Below are 19,831 nucleotides of genomic sequence, written 5' to 3'. Positions count from 1 at the left end.
CTCAGAAGTGAAAAGCAACGGCCTACAGCATTCCACCTGTCCCAGGAAACAGTTCCAGAAGGACGTGCTCAGTCTGACCCCAGAGAAACCTCCCGGACAGCTCCCCTGGGGACACCTCCCACACATGGGTCTGAAGATCCAAGATTTATTTCACTCAAACTGGTTCTTTCTCAAGAGGGTAATGGAGCATTGACGTGGCTCACTGAATTCACAGGGGTCTCCAAACAAAAATACTAAATAATTTTTTAAAAATAGAAACCACACACTCTTTGGGTATTACATGTAAGAAGCATGCTGTGATTCTAACTATGGCACCCCAAAAAGCACAAAATTCAGATAGTAAGCGGGCCCCCAACACCCTTGAATAGCGTTGCTTACTCACCCACGCCAGCTTCCCCATAGCCCAGGTGAGGCGGAATGATCACTGTCCGTTTCTCGCCAACGCACATCTCTCTGAGACCCATGTCCATCCCCAACACAACTTGCCCAGATCCCAGAACAATATTGTAAGTTTTGCCTAAATTCCACCTAAAATGAAACAGAAGAGCCTCATGTTAGGTCACCAACCCATTGGCACTGAGAGTGTTCCCATGAGAAGAACACATCACTTCTAGGATATTTCTACCAAAGAAATGCAAATCCCTATCTAATCATGAGGAAACATCAGACAAAAACAAATTGGGGCACATGCTGAAAAATGTCTGGCTGTCATCTTCAAAACTGTCAAGGCCATGAAAATCCAGGCAAGACTGTGGAAGTTCCAGAGTGGAGAAGCATAGTGGAATGGGGTCCTTTTTGCTTGAGCCCAGGAGGTGGAGGCTGCAGTGAGCCAGGATCGTGCCCCTGCACTCCAGCCTGTGAGACAGAGTGAGACTCTGTCTCAAAAACAAAAACAAGACAAAAAACCCTGGCTTTTGGATTCAGCAAGACCTGAGATGGATTCCTGGTTCTGCCACTTAATTTAACCCTGAGAAATGTAATCTCTGTTACTTTATCTATGAAACGGAGACAACAAATATAGCTATCTCACAGGGACGTTTTAAATCGCAAATAACATGTTATGCTTGGCACAGTGGAGGGGAAGTACAAAGGGCTCAATAAATGTTTGGCCTTGAGGTGTAAAGTGTTTATGTCTGTAGCAGTCTAAGACTAAAAAAAAAAAAAAAAGACCACCAAGAGTTTAATTATCCTTGATGGCCATGGGCCTCAGGAAGCCAGTTAAAAAAAAGTTTGCTCTATCACTTCGGTCACTACTAAAAATAAATCTACGCCAAAATCTATGCCATTCCTATCACTTCCTAAAGGCAAACAGTGTTGATGTTCTTTACTCCAAGGAGAAAAGCCCCCTGACCCCCCTTGATGCCCATGAGCACTGGGGACAACATGGACGGGTGCCCCTTTGGGTCATATCCTCTTCTCAGGCTTCCCGACCTCCCCTGGACCCAGGGCAGCCACTTCTTTCCCTCCTCCAGCTGATTACCAGCAAACCAAGACAGGGTTTGTGTTTTCCCACCTGGGAGGAACCCCAAACAAAGCCAACTCAGGGATGGCTTTGGGGAGGGAGCCAACTCTCACTGCCTGCCTTTCTCTGGGGCTACTCCAGTTGCAAAGTCTTATGACAGAATATTCCAGAACTCAGTCATCCAGGAACGCATGTTTCTTCTTCCTCCTTGAGGCCAGTTTAAACACGCAAGCGTAAGAAAATTCTCCAAGCAAACAATTTGTTGTCATGTGTCATCTCTGAACACACCACTCATTCTTTTTCCTCGGGTCCTGTGATTTTCTTTCTTTCTCTCTTGGGCAGTGTTTCTCTCAAACACGGTCCTCACTCCCCCTGCATGCTTCCTGGCCCCATCCACCGCCGGCCTGCAGCTTCCTGCCTGCTTCACCCTCCCCGGCTCACTCCCACTCCTCTCCTCCCTTCTAGGCAGCAGCTGCTGCCTTAGTCCTGATGAATGGGGCCCAGCCCACACGGGGCTCTAGCTGGGACCAGATAGGCAGGTGCTGGCCAAGCTTTCCATTAGCCCAGTATTCTGAAGCTCACACCAGGAAGACACCAGCAGGGACGCCAGCCGCTACTCTTCTGCTGCAGATTTACATGTAATACAGAGGCTCTCAGAGTACAAAATGCACTTCCTGATAAGGAGCTCTGGCTCATGTGGCTCCTGAGTGCTCTGCCAGGATGTTATGAGTCCTTCAAACACAAGCAGGAGGCAGGGAGACTGACTCTCCCCGCCCCACGTGAGAAGCAGATCCTGGAGCCTCCGAGAAGGAATTCCTTTGTTCATTCCCCACACCCACTTCCCCTTTCCTCAGCCTCAGGATCAGCGGACAGGAATATGAACATCAGCAGGAGCAGTGACAGCAGCCACGGACCTTACAGACCCTTCTAACCTCATGGACCATTTTCACTCTTAGGAGCTCACTTGATCCACAAAAGCACTACAAGCCATGCCCCTTCCCTGCTGCCCTGCCTCCCGCTAGCTTCTAATAGTCAGTGGTTGGGATTTCTTTGCAAGGTCTGTTGTAAGCCAGGTCCCTGTACATCTGGGCCCTGGAAGCCTAGCACATATTTCACTGATTCTAAAATGCATATTTTTTCACAGTTTAACCTTTCTATAATTAGGATACATTTTATGACTGACAGTATGTCATCAGTTAGCGTTTTTACTTGGTCAGAGATACATGAAATGTTTCCATCACGCTCTTTAGAGTTGTTGAAATACATTAAATGCATTAGCATACAGGATCCCATACCGAGAGGGAGAGCTCTGAAGAGTATATCCATAGGGTCTTTTCTTTTTCTTTCTTTTTGGAGACAGAGTCTCACTCTGTTGCTCAGGCTGCAGTGCAGCAGTGCTATCTCGGCTCACTACAACCTCTACCTCCCAGATTCAAGAGATTCTCCTGCCTCAGCCTCATGAGTAGCTGGGATTACATTTGCCCGCCACTACGCCCGGCTAATTTTTGTATTTTTAGTAGAGATGGGGTTTCACCAAGTTGGCCAGGATGGTCTTGATCTCTTGACCTCGTGATCTGCCCACCTTGGCCTGCCAAAGTGCTAGGATTACAGGCATGAGCCACCGCACCCAGCCTCTGTGCATCAATTTTTAAAGAAAGCAGTTCGGCTGGGCATGACGGCTCAAATCTGTAACTCCAGCACTTTGGGAGGCCAAGAGGGGAGGATCATTTGAGGTCAGGAGTTCGAGACCAGCCTGGGCAACATAGTGAGACCCCCCCCATCTCTAAAAAAATTTTAAAAATTAGCCTGGGTCAGGTGCAGTGACTCACACCTGTAATCCTACCACTTTGGGAAACTGAGGCAGGAGGATCACCTGAACCCAGGAGTTTGAGACCAGCCAGGGCAACATGGCAAAACCTTCTCTCTGCTAAAAAGTAAACAAAATTAGCCAAGTATAGTGGTGCGTGCCTGCAATCCCAGCTACTTGGGAGGCTGAGGCGGGAGGATCACTTGAACCTGGAAGGCAGAGGTTGCAGTGAGCCGAGATAGCACCACTGCACTCCAGCCTGGGTGAAAGAGTGAGACTTGGCCGGGCGCGGAGGCTCACGCCTGTAATCCCAGCACTTTGGGAGGCCGAGGCGGGTGGATCATGAGGTCAGGAGATCGAGACCATCCTGGCTAACAAGGTGAAACCCCGTCTCTACTAAAAATACAAAAAATTAGCCAGGCGCGGTGGCGGGTGCCTGTAGTCCCAGCTACTAGGGAGGCTGAGGCAGGAGAATGGCGTGAACCCGGGAAGCGGAGCTTGCAGTGAGCCAAGATTGCGCCACTGCAGTCCGCAGTCCGGCCTGGGCGACAGAGCGAGACTCCGTCTCAAAAAAAAAAAAAAAAAAAAAAAAAAAGAGTGAGACTTTATCAAAAAAAAAAAAAAAAGAAAGAAAGGAAGGAAGGAAGGAAAAAAAGAGAGAAAGAGAGAAAGAGAAAGAAAGGAAAGAAGAGGAAGGGAGGGAGGGAGGGAGCAAGGAAGGAAGGAAGGAAGGAAGGAAGGAAGGAAGGAAGGAAGGAAGGAAGGAAAGATAGCAGTTATACGATGAGATCTGCTTTTCAGAAAGACAATTTCATGGGGTGAAAAATGACCTGCAGCAGGGCAAGACCATTAATAGGAAACTCTTAACACAATGCACCTGAGCAGTGATGCAGCCACGAGCTATGCAGTGGGGCAGCATGGAGATAAAAGCTCTCAACCAGCATCTACCCAAGAGAGGAGGATGGTGGGAGCATGCAACTGTCACCCTCCAGGCTCACTCCCACACCATTCTGGTTGCCCTTACGTGGAGTCCAGCAGGGTCCCATCCAGAAGTGAGGCATTGTAGTGATATTTGAGGTAATCTCCCTTCTTACTCAGCACTGAGCAGTCAGGGGGTTTGTAGTGGGAGGTGATGCTGATGGAGTCCGAAGGGTTGTGGAAGTCGATCACATGGATGTCAAACACCAGCACAGCCGAGCCGGGGATATTCCCTAAAGGACAGACACGGGGAATTAATGAATGACCCCTGCAGGCTGCAGCACATGGGCCTCCCCAGTGTCACCAGGTATGTCCTCAAGGCCCTCCAAGTGAGGAAAACGGGCACCCAGATACAGAACCCTAGGAGGACTCCAAGACTGACGCTGAAAGGGCTGTTAGATGTAACCTCATCCTCATTTTACAGGTGGATAAACGGAGGCACAGATTTGCCGTGGGTCTCACAGCCTGTAATGAGCACAGTTTGGACTAAAATTCAAGACTATGGACTATTGCCCCATGGAATCGTTGAGCCTGAAAGATGAGTGGCTAAGTTGATCACAGATGAGGAAACTCAAACCCAGCCAAATTAATACTTGCCCCTTGCCCACTGGAAGTAAGAGGTGGGGTGAGAAAATCAGCCGTAGAGTGAAATCACTCCAATGTCCTACCACTGCTCAAGAAAAACATAACATAAACTTCATAAAGAAAAAAACACCTCTCCCCCAAAATTGGCCCCTTATGATCATACACCTAACAGTCACAAGGTGCTTTTAGAATACATCCTATTTGTTCTATACTAAATTATTTATTAACTTTTCCATAATTTCCAATTTTGAAGACAGTAGCTCACATCTGAATAATGTTTTACAGTTTGCCAAAGTATTTTTCACCTACATTTTCCCTTTAAATCCCTGCAGCAACCTTATGGGGTAGGCATGGCCATAACCCCAGGAATTTAACGACAGCTTCCCAGGGGCGTGGGGGACACTTAAACATATGCATCAGTTGTAATACATCCCCCAGCCCAAATCATTTCAGAGAAGTTTAAATGTAAAATATTTTAAAATCATGTTACCTAGAGTCAAGGACATATTTTATTATCATCAGCATTTTACATATAAAAAAACCAACTCAGGTTAGGTATGGTGGTGGCTCATGCCTATAATCTCAACTCTGGGAGGCTGAGGTGGGAGGATCACTTGAGGCCAGGGGTTTGAGACCAGCCTAGGCAACACAGCCAAATGTCTCTACAAAAAAATTAGCTGGGCGTGGTGGTGAGCACTTGTAGTCCCAGATACTCGGGAGGTTGAGGCAGGAGGATTGCTTGAGGCCAGGAGGTCAAGGCTACAGTGAGTTAGGATTGCACCACTGTACTCTAGCCTGGGCAACAGAGTGAGACTCCGTCCTCAAAAAAGAAAGAAAGAAAGAAATGAAAAATTCAGACATGATATTACTTATTCAAGAGAATAACACAGCTAATGACAAAATTCAGATAGAGATACACAAACTCCAACAGTCCCTCCTTACCTCCTGTCCCAACACGTACTTTTCTGTGTCTGCTTCTTGATTGGTCTCTCTCCTATCTCTAATAGAAACACACTCACGCTCATATTTAATAGGCGTTTATTGAGTACCAGGCATTCTTCTAAATTAAACATGTATTGTTTAATTCTCATTAAAATCCTGAGAAAATGGAGGTACAAATTTTGGGGCTGGCCAAAGTTAAAGGTAATAATTTGAGAAGCGTGTGCTTTAATAGCAGAACACAGGTGCCTGCTACTCACTCAAAACAGGGGCTGCTGGTGTGGGTGGAGTGGGGTGCAGGCTCCTTCCCACAGGAACCAGGAAGTACAGCCTGCCATTGGCCAGAAGGCTGCTCAAAGCCAGGCCACGGATGGCTCTGTGTGGGAAGCTAACACACATGGACAGGGTGGGTGTCTGCAGAGGCAGATCTATGGTTCCTCAACCTTGGTAACCTGTTAAAAATCACCTGGGAATGAACCCGAAAACATTATGCTAAGTGAAAGAAGCCAGACACAAAAGGCCACATACTGTAGGATTCCAGGGATATGGAAACATCCAGCATAAGCAAATCCATACAGACAAGAAATAGACTACCTGTTGCCAGCGTGGGGGAAGTGGATGGATGAGGACAGGGTACGGAGAGTGACCGCTAATGGTTATGGGTTACTTTTTGGAGTGATGAAACTGTGCTGGAATTAGGTAGAGGTAATGGTTATGTTACCTGGTTAATATACTAAAAACAACTAAATTGTAAACTTTAACATGATTATTTTTATAGTATGTGAATTATATTTCAAGAAAACATTAAATAAAAATATCTTTCTTGGGTATATATACAAAAGAATTGAAGCTGGAGATGCGAACAGATATTTGTACACTCATATTCACAGAAGCATTAAGCATTATTCACAACAGACAAAAAGTAGAAACAGCCTAAGTGTTCATCACCAGACGAACTGATCAACAAAATGTAGTATATACATCCAATGGAATATTCATTCAGCAATAAAAAGGAATGAAATTTATTAGCCAGAAATGAGGAATTAATTTTTTTTTTTTGAGATGGAGTCTTGCTCTGTCATCCAGGCTGGAGTGCATTGGCATGTTCTCAGCTCACCGCAACCTCCGTCCCCCGGGTTCAAGCGATTTCCCTGCCTCAGCTGAGATTACAGACGCGTACCACCACACCTGGCTAATTTTTGTGTTTTTAGTAGAGACAGGGTTTCACCATGTTGGCCAGGCTGATCTTGAACTCCTGACCTCAGGTTATCCGCCTGCTTCAGCCTCCCAAAGTGCTGGGATTACAGGCGTGAGCCACCGCGCCCAGCTTGAAATTTTGATAAATGCTAAAATACAAATAGACCTTGAAAACATTATGCTAAGTAAAATAAGACAGACACAGAAAGAGAAATATTGTATGATTCCACTCAAGTGAGGCACTTAGAATAGGCAAATTGGTAGAGACAGAAAGAAAGGTGGTTGTCAGAGGTTGATAGGAGGGAGGAATCGGGAGTTATTGTGTAATGGGTTTATGTTGGGGATGATGAAAGAGTTCTGAGTGTAGATGATAGTAATGGTTATACAACATTGTGAATATATTTGATGCCACTAAACTGTACACTTAAAATGGTTAACAAGGTAAAGATGTTAAGTATATTTTACCACAAATTTTAAAAACTTCTAACACTGAGCTAAGCAGTCACCAAATTTTATCAATTCAAATATAATCTCCCCTCCAAGATGCATTCAGGTGCAGGGCCTTCTCCAGGGCAAAAGGGAATGCATCTGGAACCACCCACATCCCTGGGATCTGATGTCAGCAGTCAAATGAACTCAGCCTCTCAGGCCCCGAGGATTCCAGGCACAAGAATTCCAACCAGTGTAGAGGTCGATTCACACCCAGTCAAGGAACCATGTAGCATCAGGTGAGTATGTCAGCTTCTAGGAAGTTAACGTGAGTCAGTCTCCCAGGTGCCTGATAACCTCTGAGGCACACACATTATTGAGGGCGTCAACAAGGAAACACTCTCTGTGTGCGTAGGAAGTTTTGTTTGTGTTTCTTTCTGCTGAATCCCTAACACCGTGAGCAGGGCCTGGTCATGAAGAAACTCAATAAATCTTTGATGGATGGATAGATGGAGTTTCTCCGCCTGCAAAAATGAAGATCAGAGCCTTGAACCATAGACCCCACCTACCCCAGGCAGCACCAAGGCTTCGAACCTCTATCCCTCTATCTTGCTCTGACTTCCACAAAGCTATTTGTAGATTAAGTATAGAAATGAGTGCTGACCAGCAAACGGGCAGAAATAGTCCAACGTGGCTCCAACACCAACCTCCTCTCTGTATAAACCCTTAACCAATGCAGAAGTCATCATTCTGTTCTCACCATGAGGATGCCTCCCTCAGAAGAGATACAGATGAGAAAAACTTAAAAGCGGCCAATAGCCCACCCAAGAAACTCTGCAGCTCCTGCTGGGGGTGGATTTCCTCTGCTGGTGGTGGGTTTCCTCTGCGGTGGGTGGGTTTCCTCTGCGGGGGGTGGGTTTCCTCTGCAGAGAGTCAGTTTCCTCTGAGGGGGGTGGGTTTCCTCTGAGGGGGTGGGTTTCCTCTGCGGGGGTGGGTTTCTTCTGAGGGGAGTGGGTTTCCTCTGAGGAAGGTGGGTTTCCTCTGAGCGGGTGTGTTTCCTCTGAGAGCTCTAGGACTTCTGGTTTGAGGTCTCGGTTCTCCACATATGGGTATCAACAAGTCACTACCTAATGGGGACTCATTCTTTCTGTCTGTCTAGGACACATATGGGTCAGAGAGCCCTGGGTCCAATTCCAGCTCCATCATGGATTAGCTATTGTGGCCTTGGACACATGGGTGGAACTCTCTGGGCCTCATTATATTTCTAAACAATGAGGGTAATGATGCCTCAGAAGACTGTTTCCAGGTTTGAATGAGTTCATGTGCAAGAAGTCCCAGACACACAGTGGGTAAAATGTAATTTATTAACTTTCCTCTCTTTCCTAAAAGGGTGCTCAAAAGGTAATCTGGAAGTTGAGTAACAGCAAACCATCGATGAAGTGATGCTTACACATCCTCGCAGGCAGAATCCATTCTCCACTTTGAGGCTGCAAACCCATCCAAATGCCCTAATTTCAGGGCTGACCCATGGAACAAAGCAGATGGCAGAAAGATCCAGAACCTCTCCCAGGAGGCCTACCCTTTCCCCTCCACCAATCTTGCAGGGGAAAATGGCTGTGACAGAATGAAATGCTGATAGAGGCTGAGAGCACACGGTCAGCCCACAATTCATTCCTTCCACAAATATTTGCCAAACATTCACAATGTGCCTGGCCCTGTGGTATGCAGTGAAGAAGCCACTAAGAAGACAGTTTCAGCATCCTGACCCCTCTCGGGTCAGCCCCTCAGGGATCAGCACGAGCTCCTATGTAACCCCCACAAAGAGGCCAAGGGTGCTGATCAGGAGAGGACAGAGGCAGACTCCACTCAAGAGCACTTGGGGTTTATACCTCAGGGTCACTCAGGGTGCCCTCCTCCCACAGCAACGTGATTCAGGATGAAGGAGTCTCATTGCCCAGAAAATTTACGAGCCTTCGGCTGCTTCCCAGAGGCTTATATAATTCTTTGCAGAGCTCTGTCTCATACTTGATAGAAAGCCAAGAGGAAAAAAAGTAATTTAAGCAAATGTTTTCCATCAATGCATTCTTTTCAAAGAAAGGAAAGATTAGTCCTCAGGCCATAAAGAAACAAGAACATTCAGAAAGTATTTATCTGTTTCTGTTTATATTTGACTAGAAGTAGAAATCCACACGATAAAAAGCAATAGAGAATCAAGACACTAGACAAGCAGGATGTGTGAAGAAAGCCCTGTCGAATGGATCTTAAGCTGTGATCTGTTGTGGTTTAATCAATCAGAAATTTAAGTCAGGGAGAAAAAAATATTTCTCCATTGTACAACCTACCTTCCAACCAACTTGACGTTTCTTGGATCCTCTGGGATGAACACTACTGGGAAAACTCTCAAGATACATATGATGTATCAACAAAAAAACAGAACAGAACTAACAAAATAAATGTACAGCCAGCAAGGCCAGCCTCCATCAGCAAAAGAATACAAAAACAAAATAAATACTGCATCAACTATTGCTAAGCGAGGGAGCAGCCATTAAAATACATAGCATAGAAAGTTGTTCACAACATATCTGTTGTTCACCACAAATTAGGTGAAGAGAGAAATCACAAAGTAATACGCATAGACAATCCCATGTTTGTCCGTATTGATTAGTGTAGGTGGGCATTTTTTTTTAAACCTATACATAAACTCAAAGGTACAGAAGGACATTCACTTCATGGCTGCATTTGTTTCCTACTGTTGCTGCAGCAAAATACCACAAACTTGTTGGCTTAAAACAACGCAAACGGATTCCCCTAATTCTGGAAGGCAGAAGCATAAATTCAAGGTATTGTTAGGGATATGTTCCTTTTGGAGGCTGCCGGGGAGAATGTGTTTCCATCTTTTCCAGCCTCTCGGGGCCACCTTCATTCCCTGACAGGGTCCTCCTTCTGTATCTTCTAAGTCAGCAGTTTAGCACTTTTTCCCCGGTCTGACCCCCTGCCTCCCTTTTACAAAGACTGTTGCAAGTATTTTGAGGCCACCTGGATAATCTAGAATACTATTCCTATCTCAAGATCCTTAATCAAATCTGTAAAGTCCCTTTTAATAAGGTAACAGGAGGCTAGGCATGGTGGCTCACACCTGTCATCCCAGCACTTCAGAAGGCCAAGGTGGGAGGATTGCTTGAGCTCAGGAGTTCCAGACAAGCCTGGGAAACATAGCAAGACCATGTCTGTCTTTACAAAAAAAAAAAAATTGCTTTTGAATTAGCCGTGCATGGTAGCACACACATGTAGTCCTAGCTACTCAGGAGGCTGATGCAGGAGGATCACTTTAACACAGAAGCTGGAGGCTGCAGTGAGTTAGGAGCTTATCTTACCACTGCACTCCAGCCTGGGCAACAGAACAAGACTTTGTCTCAAAACAAAATAAAGTAAGGTAACATACTCACAGGTTCTGGGGATTAGAACATAGATACTTGGAGGGGCTGAATATTCTGCCTACCAGATTAAGATTAACAATATTTGTTTCTGGCATGGCATGGCGCTCACATCTATAATCCCAGCACTTTGGGAAGCCAAGGTGGGCAGATCACTTGGGCCAGGAGTTTGAGACTAGCCTGGCCAACATAGTGAAACTCCATCTCTACTGAAAATTAAAAAAAAAAATTAGCCAGGCGTGGTGGCACATGCCTGTAGTCCCAGCTACTTGGGAGGCTAAGGCACGAGACTCACCTGAACCCAGGAGGCAGAGGTTGCAGTGAGCCAAGATCGTGCCACTGTACTCCAGCCTGGGTGACAGAATGAGACTCTATCTCAAAAAAAGAAAAAAGAAAAAAAGGAAAAAAAATCTTTATTTCTGGGTGGCAGGATTTCTTTGCTTAACTGTATTTTCTTTTTCTAAAGTCAACATGTATGATTTGTGTAACTTTTAAAAGGAAGTGTGGTATGAGGGTGACAAAAATGTTCTAAAACAGGATTATAGTGATGGTGACATAACCCACTAAATGTTCTAAAAGTCACTAAATTGTATACTTAAATGGGTGAATTTTATAATATATAAAACAAAAACCAAAGAGGGGCTTTTGCACTTACTTTCAATGGTTCAGCCCAAAATAAATAAATAAATATAAAAAGAGATCAAATATAGCAAAATGTTAACAACTGGCAAAACAAAGTGGAATTCACCATAACGTGCTTTTGACTTTGGTGTAGGATTTAACATTTTCAAAAGGTAAAGGAAAATGGGCAGAGAAACAAGGAGAAATAACAGGACAACTCTAGAAACTAAATCTATTTGGGAATTCCAGTCTTAAGCTGGACTTTAGCTTCAATATTTTGGCTCTCAAGAAGTTCTGTGCAGGGTGTGGTGGTGCGTGCCTGTAGTGCCAGCTACTCTGAAGGCTGAGGCAAGAGGATCACTTGAGGCCAAGAGTTCCAGGCCATAGTACACGATGATCACACACTACACTTTCCAGCCTGTTCAACAGAGGGAGACCCTATCTCAAAAAGAAAGAAGAAAAAGAAAAAGAAGCCCTGTTTCAAGCAATGTGGAAGCAGCCACAGCTAGTGAGGAAGGCAGGTGATGCTGATGCTCACCTCTTCCTTCCTCTCCATACCCCAGGTGAGGCGGGACCACAATCCTTCGCTTTTCTCCAATGCAAACACCAAGTAGACCTTCATCCATCCCAGGAATCACGTAGCCCTGCCCAATGTACGTGTCAAACGTGCGGTTCCGAGAGTAGCTAGAAAAGAAGAAAGGAAAGAAAGAGGTCATTCATGAGGGCCTCCACAGCAGCTGTGCAAATTAGTTGGGAAAGAGATGCAAAGGCACACAGAGGCCTCCAGACTCCGGAACAGCGTAAACCACAGTATCTGACGACACAGCCAGGAAACATGCTCCCCTGGAAGGGTAAATAAGAACCCCCACACAGCATGTGAACAGCCACCTGTAGGGACACGCCATGTGGCCCTCCAGTTTCATCAGGTTATGAATGCAGTGTGGGTTATGAGAAGCACCACACAGAAATGGAGCTAATGTAAATTGAACACTATACTTTCTTTTTCTGAGGCAAGGTCTCACTCTGTCACCCAGGCTGGTGTGCAGTGGCACCATCATAGACAGCTCACTGCAGCCTCAACCTCCCAGGCTCAAGCAATCCTCCCACCTCAGCCTCCCAAGTAGCTGAGACTACAAGCACATGCTACCACACCTAGCTAATACTTTTTTTTTTTTGTAGAGATGGGGTCCCACTATGTTGCTCAGCCTGGTCTTGAGCTCCTGGATCAAGTGATCCTCCTGACTTGGCCTCCCAAAGTGCTGGGTTGACAGGTATGAGCCACCGTGCCCAGCCTGTACACTCTATAACCATGTCAAGTTAATGAAAACAATCAAGCTCTCAACCAGCCTGGGCAACATGGCAAAACTCTGTCACCACAAAATTACAAAACTTAGCTGGATGTGGTGGCACACACCTATAGTCCCAGCTACTCAGGAGGCTGAAGTCAGAGGACTGCTTGTGCCGGAGAGGTTGAGGTTGCAGTGAGCCAAGATCACAACACTGCACTCCAGCCTGGGTGACAGAATGAGACCCTGTCTTGAAAACAAAAGACAGAATCGAACGTAGCCCTTATCAGAAACTACGAATGTGTCACAAGGATAATGTCTCCAATATCTAAAGAGAAAATATCTGCATATGTGGGACATGAATATTCTGTTTTTATTTTCTAATTACTTTTTAATTTTTTTTTTTTTTGGAGACAGGGTCTTGCTCTGTCTCCCAGGCTGGAGTGAAGTGGTCTGGTCTCAGCTCACTGCAGCCTCAACCTCCTGGGCTCAAGTGATCCTTCCACCTCAGCCCCTCAAGTGGCTGGGGCTACAGCATGCAATACCATGCCTGGCTCATTTTTGTATTTTTAGTAAAGATGGGGTTTCACCACGTTGCCCAGGTTGGTCTCGAACTCCTGGGCTCAAGCGATCTGCCTGCCCTGGCCTCCGAAAGTGTGGAATTACAGGCTTGAGCCACAGCACCCAGCCTGACATGAAGATTCCGATCGCCAGGAAAGCAGCATACACACTGAGAGTAATGAATTCCGCACTCTCCACCACAGCCCGACAAAAGGCCCCCACTATCACCCCTGCTCACCCCGCCACCCTGGTGAATACTTGGGTTTTCCAAGTGCTCCTGGCAGGAGCCCCAAGTCCACTCAGTGGAGAGATCCAGCCTGTGTGTAAACTACTGAGTGATTCTATTACCATGAGTTTGGTAAAAAGAGGAATCAATTCCCCACAGCATAATGATTCCAGAATAAAATAATAAAACTTCATATGCCACAAGTCCACTATCAAACTGGACCACGTGACCTGCACCCCTTCCCCACACCACCTGGTGCCGATGAGGCAGAAAGCCTGTCCTGAAAGAGCCAGTCGGTCCTGCCATTCCCTCACCTCAAAGCCAGGGCATGATGCCCCGGAGAAGAAGGACTGCCGAGCAGGGCCAGGCCGATACACAGGCAGAGCTGTGGGGGTTCTCCCTTCTCAATACCCCTCAAAGACCACAAAGTCATGGGGCACGAAGAAAGAATCACAACAGATGTCTCTCCTCACCCAGGAAGCAGGAGATTGTCCACATAAACTCCCAGACGAGGCTGTGAGTCCCCCTTCCCACCCACTGAGAACAGCACCCCACGCTGAGCAGCTCCAATCCTCCTCCTGGTGCACTGGCCAGGAAGGCCTGGAGGGGAACACAGCAGGGAAGAGGAGGACCGTGTCGGCTCCCAGCATCCTTCAGCCAGAGCAGGGCTCACCCTCCCGAGGTTCCCACCTGCAGGACCCTGGGGATCACCAGCAATGTGCAGCCACTGCCAGACATTCAGGGAAGAGAAGGATACCTATGTGGTGGGCTCCCGACAAAGGGACACCAAGTAGTGAGAGAGATGGCAGGTACCCACAGCGGGGATTGCTGCCCACTGGAATAGTTGCAAAGATTCCATGGCAGAGGGGAGATAGCAGACACCGAAGGCTGTGGGATCTGCCTAAGGGAAGAGCAATGGTCTGGCAGCAAGGGCCAAGCCAAGAGGCAGGATATAAGAGCCTCAGAAGGAGAGACGGAGTGGCGGGGTGGGCTTGAATTGTAGTAAATGCTGAATAAAAGTTAAAGACAAGTAAATGCAAAACCATCCTGTTCCCCAATGGAAAAGTGAAGTCGTCAGTCCTCCCCTAAACTAACTTATAAGTTCTTTTATCTTTTCTTTTTTTTGAGACACAGTCTCACTCTGTTGCTGAGGCTGGAGTGCAATGGTAAGATCTCGGCTCACTGCAACCTCTGTCTCCTGGGTTCAAGCGATTCTCCTGCCTCAGCCTCCCAAGTAGTTGGGATTACAGGCATGCACCACCACACTCAGCTAATTTTTGTATTTTTGGTAGAGACGGGGTTTCACCATGTTGGCCAGGCTGGTCTTGAACTCCTGTCTTCAAGTGATCCACCTGCCTCGGCCTCCCAAAGTGCTGGGATTACAGGTGTAAGCCATCGTGCCTGGCCTAAGCCACCACAGCTGGCCCAAACTAACTTACAAATTTTAAAGCAATTCCAATCAAAATTGCTCAGTAAAGTAATGCTAAAATTCACCTGAAAAAAGAAATAATTAAGAATGCTGTTTTTAAGGTGCAGTATACAGCAAGCTATCATTCTTGTAAAAAATTAAGCAGGAAATATATACATATATGTACTTCATTATATATGTATGGAACACCTATGAAATTAATAACACTGGGCCAGGGGCAGTGGGTTACACCTGTAATCCCAGCACTTTGGGAGGCCGAGGTGGGTGATCACTTGAGGTCAGGAGTTCGTGACCAGCCCGGCCCAACATGTTGAAACCCCATCTCTACTAAAAATACTAAAAAAATTAGCCGGGCCTGGTGGCATGTGCCTGTAATCCCAGCTACTCGGGAGGCTGAGGGCAGGAGAATCGCTTGAACCTGGAGGGCAGAGGTTGCAGTGAGCCGAGATCGTACCATTGCACTCCAGCCTGGGCAAAGAAGCGAGGCTCCGTCTCAAAAAAAAAAAAAAAGAAAGAAAGAAAGAAAAAGAAATTAGTAACACTGGTTCCCTATGAAGAGGGGAGGTGGGACAAGGATAGGAGGGAAATTTGTCATTGTATACCTTTTCATACTTCCAGGGTTTTAAATCATGTCAATGCATCACTTAGTAGAAAAAAAAGCTATTTTTTAAAAAAGAAAAAGAATGCCCTCTACTATACAAATTAAAAAGCTAACACTAGTTAATCATAGTTAAAGTTGTGATGCTGCCCTAGGAATAGATAGAAGGTAAAGGATAAAAATTCTACACAAAGACTCAAAAGTACATATAAGAATTTAGTTCATAACAAAAATCACCTTTTAGAGCAGTGAGGAAATGACAGAGTCATTCATGACGGATGTTGGAAAAACTAGCTAACCATCTGGAAAAAAATAAAGTTAAATCCTTCCTGTCACAGTGATACCACAATAAATTCCAGATGGATTAAAGACTTAAATATGAAAGCATTTATGAGCATAGAGAGAAACTGCAGAACGTTGTTAACACTGGCGATCTCATGGTAGTGAGAATGGAAGGGGCTGACAGGAAATTTACATTTTCTGCTATACATTTTTGCATTGTTTCCATTATGCAATTAGGACATATTACCTCTGGCCTGGTGCGGTGGCTCATGCCTGTAATCCCAGCACTTTGAGAGGCCCAGGCGAGTGGATAACTTGAGGCCGGGAGTTTGATACCAACCAGGCCGAAATGGTGAAACCTCATCTCTACTAAAAATACAAAAAAATGAGTCGGGCAAATTTTTTTGCATCACTACAGGTGATGGTGCACACCTGTAGTCCCAGCTACTCTGGAAGCTGAGGCAGAAGAATTGCTTGAACCTGGGAGGTGGAGGTTGCAGTGGGCTGCAATCACATCACTGCACTCCAGCCTGGGCAGCAGAGTGAGACTCTGTCTCAAAAAAAAAAGAACATATTACTTTTGAAAATAAAAATTCTAATAAAGAATATCTTAAAGAATAGAAAAAAAAACCATTAAAAGGCTTGAGGGAAATACAGGCAAACATTTATATACTCTAGGAAGAGGACAGACTTTGTAACAAGTCACCAAAGACAGGAACCATAATGAGGAAGTCTAATGTATTTAACAACATAACAGGTTTACAGTTAAATGGGCCAAAAATCAACATAACCAAAATTAACAAACAAATAAATTGAGGAAAATGTTTTTAATAATATGCAGCCATAAAATAATTAATATTTTTAATGTGTAGAGCTCTTCAAATCAACAAGAAACAGACAAATGCCAATGCCCTAAATAGAAAAATAGGCAAAGGACCTGAACAGGTAGTTCACAAAAGAAAGTACTCAAATAAACACCCAAAGGAATTTCAATCCCAATAGCAATAGAAAATTCAGATTAAAACCACAGGTATCATTGTTTTCTCCTATAAATTAGCCAAGATAATTTTTAAATGATACCCAATGTTACTGAATTTGTAGGGAATGGGATACTCTTAAACTGTGATGCTGAGTAAAACCTTCCTTGAGGGCAACTTGGTAGTATGTATCAAAAGGTATAAAAATACACATAACCACTGGGCGCAGTGGCTCATACCTGTAATCCCAGCACTTTGGGAGGCCGAGGCGGGCAGATGACTTGAGGTCAGGAGTTTGACACCAGCCTGGCCAACATGGCAAAACCCTGTCTCTATCAAAAATACAAAAATTAGCCTGGTGTGGTGACAGGCGCCTGTAATCCTAGCTACTCGGGAGGCTGAGGCAGGAGAATCACTTGAACCCAGCAGGTGGAGGTTGCAGTGAGCCGAGGTCACACCACTGCATTCCAGCCTGGGTGACAAAGCAAGATACTGTCTCAAAAAAAAAGGCAGGGCGCAGTGGCTCACACCTATAATCTCAACACTTTGGGAGGCCGAAGCAGGCAGATCACCTGAGGTCAGGAGTTCAAGACCAGCCTGGCCAATATGATGAAACCCCTATCTCTACTAAAAATACAAAATTAGCTGGGAGTGGTGGCTCATGCCTGTAATCCTAGCTACTAAGGAGGCTGAGACACGAGAATCGCTTGAACCCACGAGACGGAGGTTGCAGTGTGCTGAGATCACGCCATTGCACTCCAGCCTGGGCAAGAAGAGCGAAACTCCGTCTCAAAACACACACACATAGACACACACACACACACACACACACACACACACACACACATAACCTTTGACCCAGAGATTCTTCTAGCGATGTATCCCAGGGAAACAATTAATCATATATTTTAAGATTTCCCTACAAAAATAATTACTGCAGCCTTAAGTGTCAAAATACAGGAAACATACAGGACAAACAACAAGGATTGATTACCTAAATATAGGCAAATCTATACAATGAAATATATGCAGCTGTTAGAATGGGCTAGATCCCACTGTACTAAAATGGAAAGCTCTTGAAACCTAAGAAAACTGTGGTTCCATTATATGAACAGAAATCTGGTGTACACAGAAAAGTGGTCTTTCAATTGGAAATATAATTCCAGGGAATAAAGAACAGAACCACACTGGAATGTAACAAAGAATAATACACATATGCACTAAATGATTTTTTTTTGGTAACAGAAAAAGATAAAAACAACTCAAATATTCATCAATAGGGGAATGGTTATCTAAATACAATATACTCACCCAATGGGACGCCATGTAGATGTAAAAAATAAAGGATTTCTCTCTATGTATTAGTATGGAAAAATCCCAGAGTAACAAAAATCAAGGAGAACACCACCTTGTTCCCTAGTAATACTATATTCTGAAATCCGTATAATTTAAGGAGAAGAAAATAACATTTGTGTTTGCTTATACTTGCATTTTAAAAAATCCACACATTAGGCTGGGCCCAGTGGCTCATGACTATAATCCCAGCACTTTGGGAGGCTGCGTTGGGTGGATCACCTGAGGTCAGGAGTTCGAGACCAGCCTGGCCAATATGGTGAAACCCCGTTTCTACTAAAAATACAAAAATTAGCCAGGCGTGGTGGTGTGTGCCTGTAACCCCAGCTACTTGGGAGGCTGAGGCAGGGGAATCACTTGAACCTGGGAGGTGGAGGTTGCAGTGAGCCAAGATTGTGCCACTGCACTGCAGCCTGGGTGACAGAGTGAGACTCTGCCTCAAAAAAAAAAAAAAATCCAGACATTGGAAAAATTAAAAATAGAAACCAATAAAGATGGTTAACTCTAAGGGGTAGGGGAGACAGGGAGGTTAGGCAGACAGGAACAGGTATACAACATATCTTTTCTTTTTTTTTTTTTTTTGAGACAGAGTCTCGCTCTGTTGCCCAGGCTGGAGTGCAGTGGTGTGATCTCAGCTCACTGCAACCTCCGCCTCCTGGGTTCAAGTCATTCTCCTGACTCAGCCTCCTGAGTAGCTGGGATTACAGGCACCCGCCAGTGCACGCCTGGCTAATTTACAACATATCTTAATGCATACTTTGTTTTGGTTTTGAGCTATGTAACTATTACTCTTTTCCAAAAAATTTAAATGACAAATTTAAAAGAGATCCTAGGAACAAGAATGAATTATTCAAATGAAATAATGCCATATACAAATTCTTCTGTAATGGTTTTGGATGACTACATTAACTAGAAGTCTATCACCTCAGAGACAGGGAGGTTGCTGTCACTACTTGTTTGCTCTACTGGAAGCTAAAGGAGTAGTTTCAAACAACACATGCCACTAGAATGAGCAAAACAGGCCAAACACAAGCCATCTCTACAATTGCAGGCCATGGCTGATAAACAAAACAAAACTTTGAACAACAAAAGAGGCCAGTAATTAGCCTCTATGGCACCCAGCATCCAGAAGGGAGCTGAATGCATCCAACCAGTGCCGTCCAGCTGATCAGCCTCTGAAATTTGTAAAGCACTGTGACACATACCTTATCTCTTTAATCTAACCACCTACTTGACAAAGTTGCTGGAATAGGGAAAAATGAAGTCCAAGGCAGTCAAACACTATCCAAAGTCATACAGCTAGTGCACCACAGACAGGGGCTAGAGCCCAGCTCTCTTGGCATTAAGCCCATTCTCTGCCCACTGTACCTCCTTGACATCACTTCTGGCCACTCCTCATCTTGGGCCCCATAATGAGGTTTATAACTGGATAACTAAGCACAGTATAGGGGGATGGTGGGAGTCGAGGGTGAGTCTCTCCTGTCTTCCTGCAGAACCATCTAAAACAGCCCCCAAGAAAGAAATGGTTACAAGAGCCTATGAAGAAACTTAAGCCCATCTCTACAAAAAATAAAACATTAGCCAAGCATGGTGGCACACGCCTATCGTCCTAGCTACTAAGGAGGCTGAGATGAGAGAATTGCTTGAGCCCAGGAGTTCAAGGCTGC

General features: G+C 45.2%; 1 protein-coding gene across 5 annotated transcripts in view, besides 1 other annotated feature; it reads right to left on the bottom strand.

Moving 5' to 3' along the window:
* Positions 1-19,831, bottom strand: part of FKBP9 (FKBP prolyl isomerase 9) — a 49,489-nt gene that overhangs the window by 6,286 nt on the left and 23,372 nt on the right. For 4 of the 5 annotated variants that reach the window (NM_001284341.2, NM_007270.5, XM_047419849.1 and 1 more), the window contains 3 exons: positions 11,991-12,136; positions 4,294-4,480; positions 383-528 (listed from right to left, as the gene is read on the bottom strand). In NM_001284341.2, the coding sequence (NP_001271270.1) occupies positions 383-528; positions 4,294-4,480; positions 11,991-12,136 (479 nt within the window). Of the gene's footprint in view, positions 1-382; positions 529-4,293; positions 4,481-5,323; positions 7,922-11,990; positions 12,137-19,831 lie in introns of those variants that run through there. The other variant, XM_011515115.4, reaches the window with a different exon arrangement.
* Positions 1,425-2,010: an enhancer, noted in NCBI's record as "H3K27ac-H3K4me1 hESC enhancer chr7:33038245-33038830 (GRCh37/hg19 assembly coordinates)". NCBI's record gives its function as "activates a minimal SCP1, AML or CMV promoter by ChIP-STARR-seq in primed H9 embryonic stem cells {active_cell/tissue: H9 hESC(primed)}" and the evidence as "EXISTENCE:reporter gene assay evidence [ECO:0000049][PMID:30033119]".

Source organism: Homo sapiens, chromosome 7 (genome assembly GCF_000001405.40).
Source record: "Homo sapiens chromosome 7, GRCh38.p14 Primary Assembly".
In the NCBI taxonomy this organism is placed as follows: Eukaryota; Metazoa; Chordata; class Mammalia; order Primates; family Hominidae; genus Homo; species Homo sapiens.
Note: the sequence above shows the minus strand (reverse complement) of the source record. Positions and strands in the feature narration are given on the sequence as shown.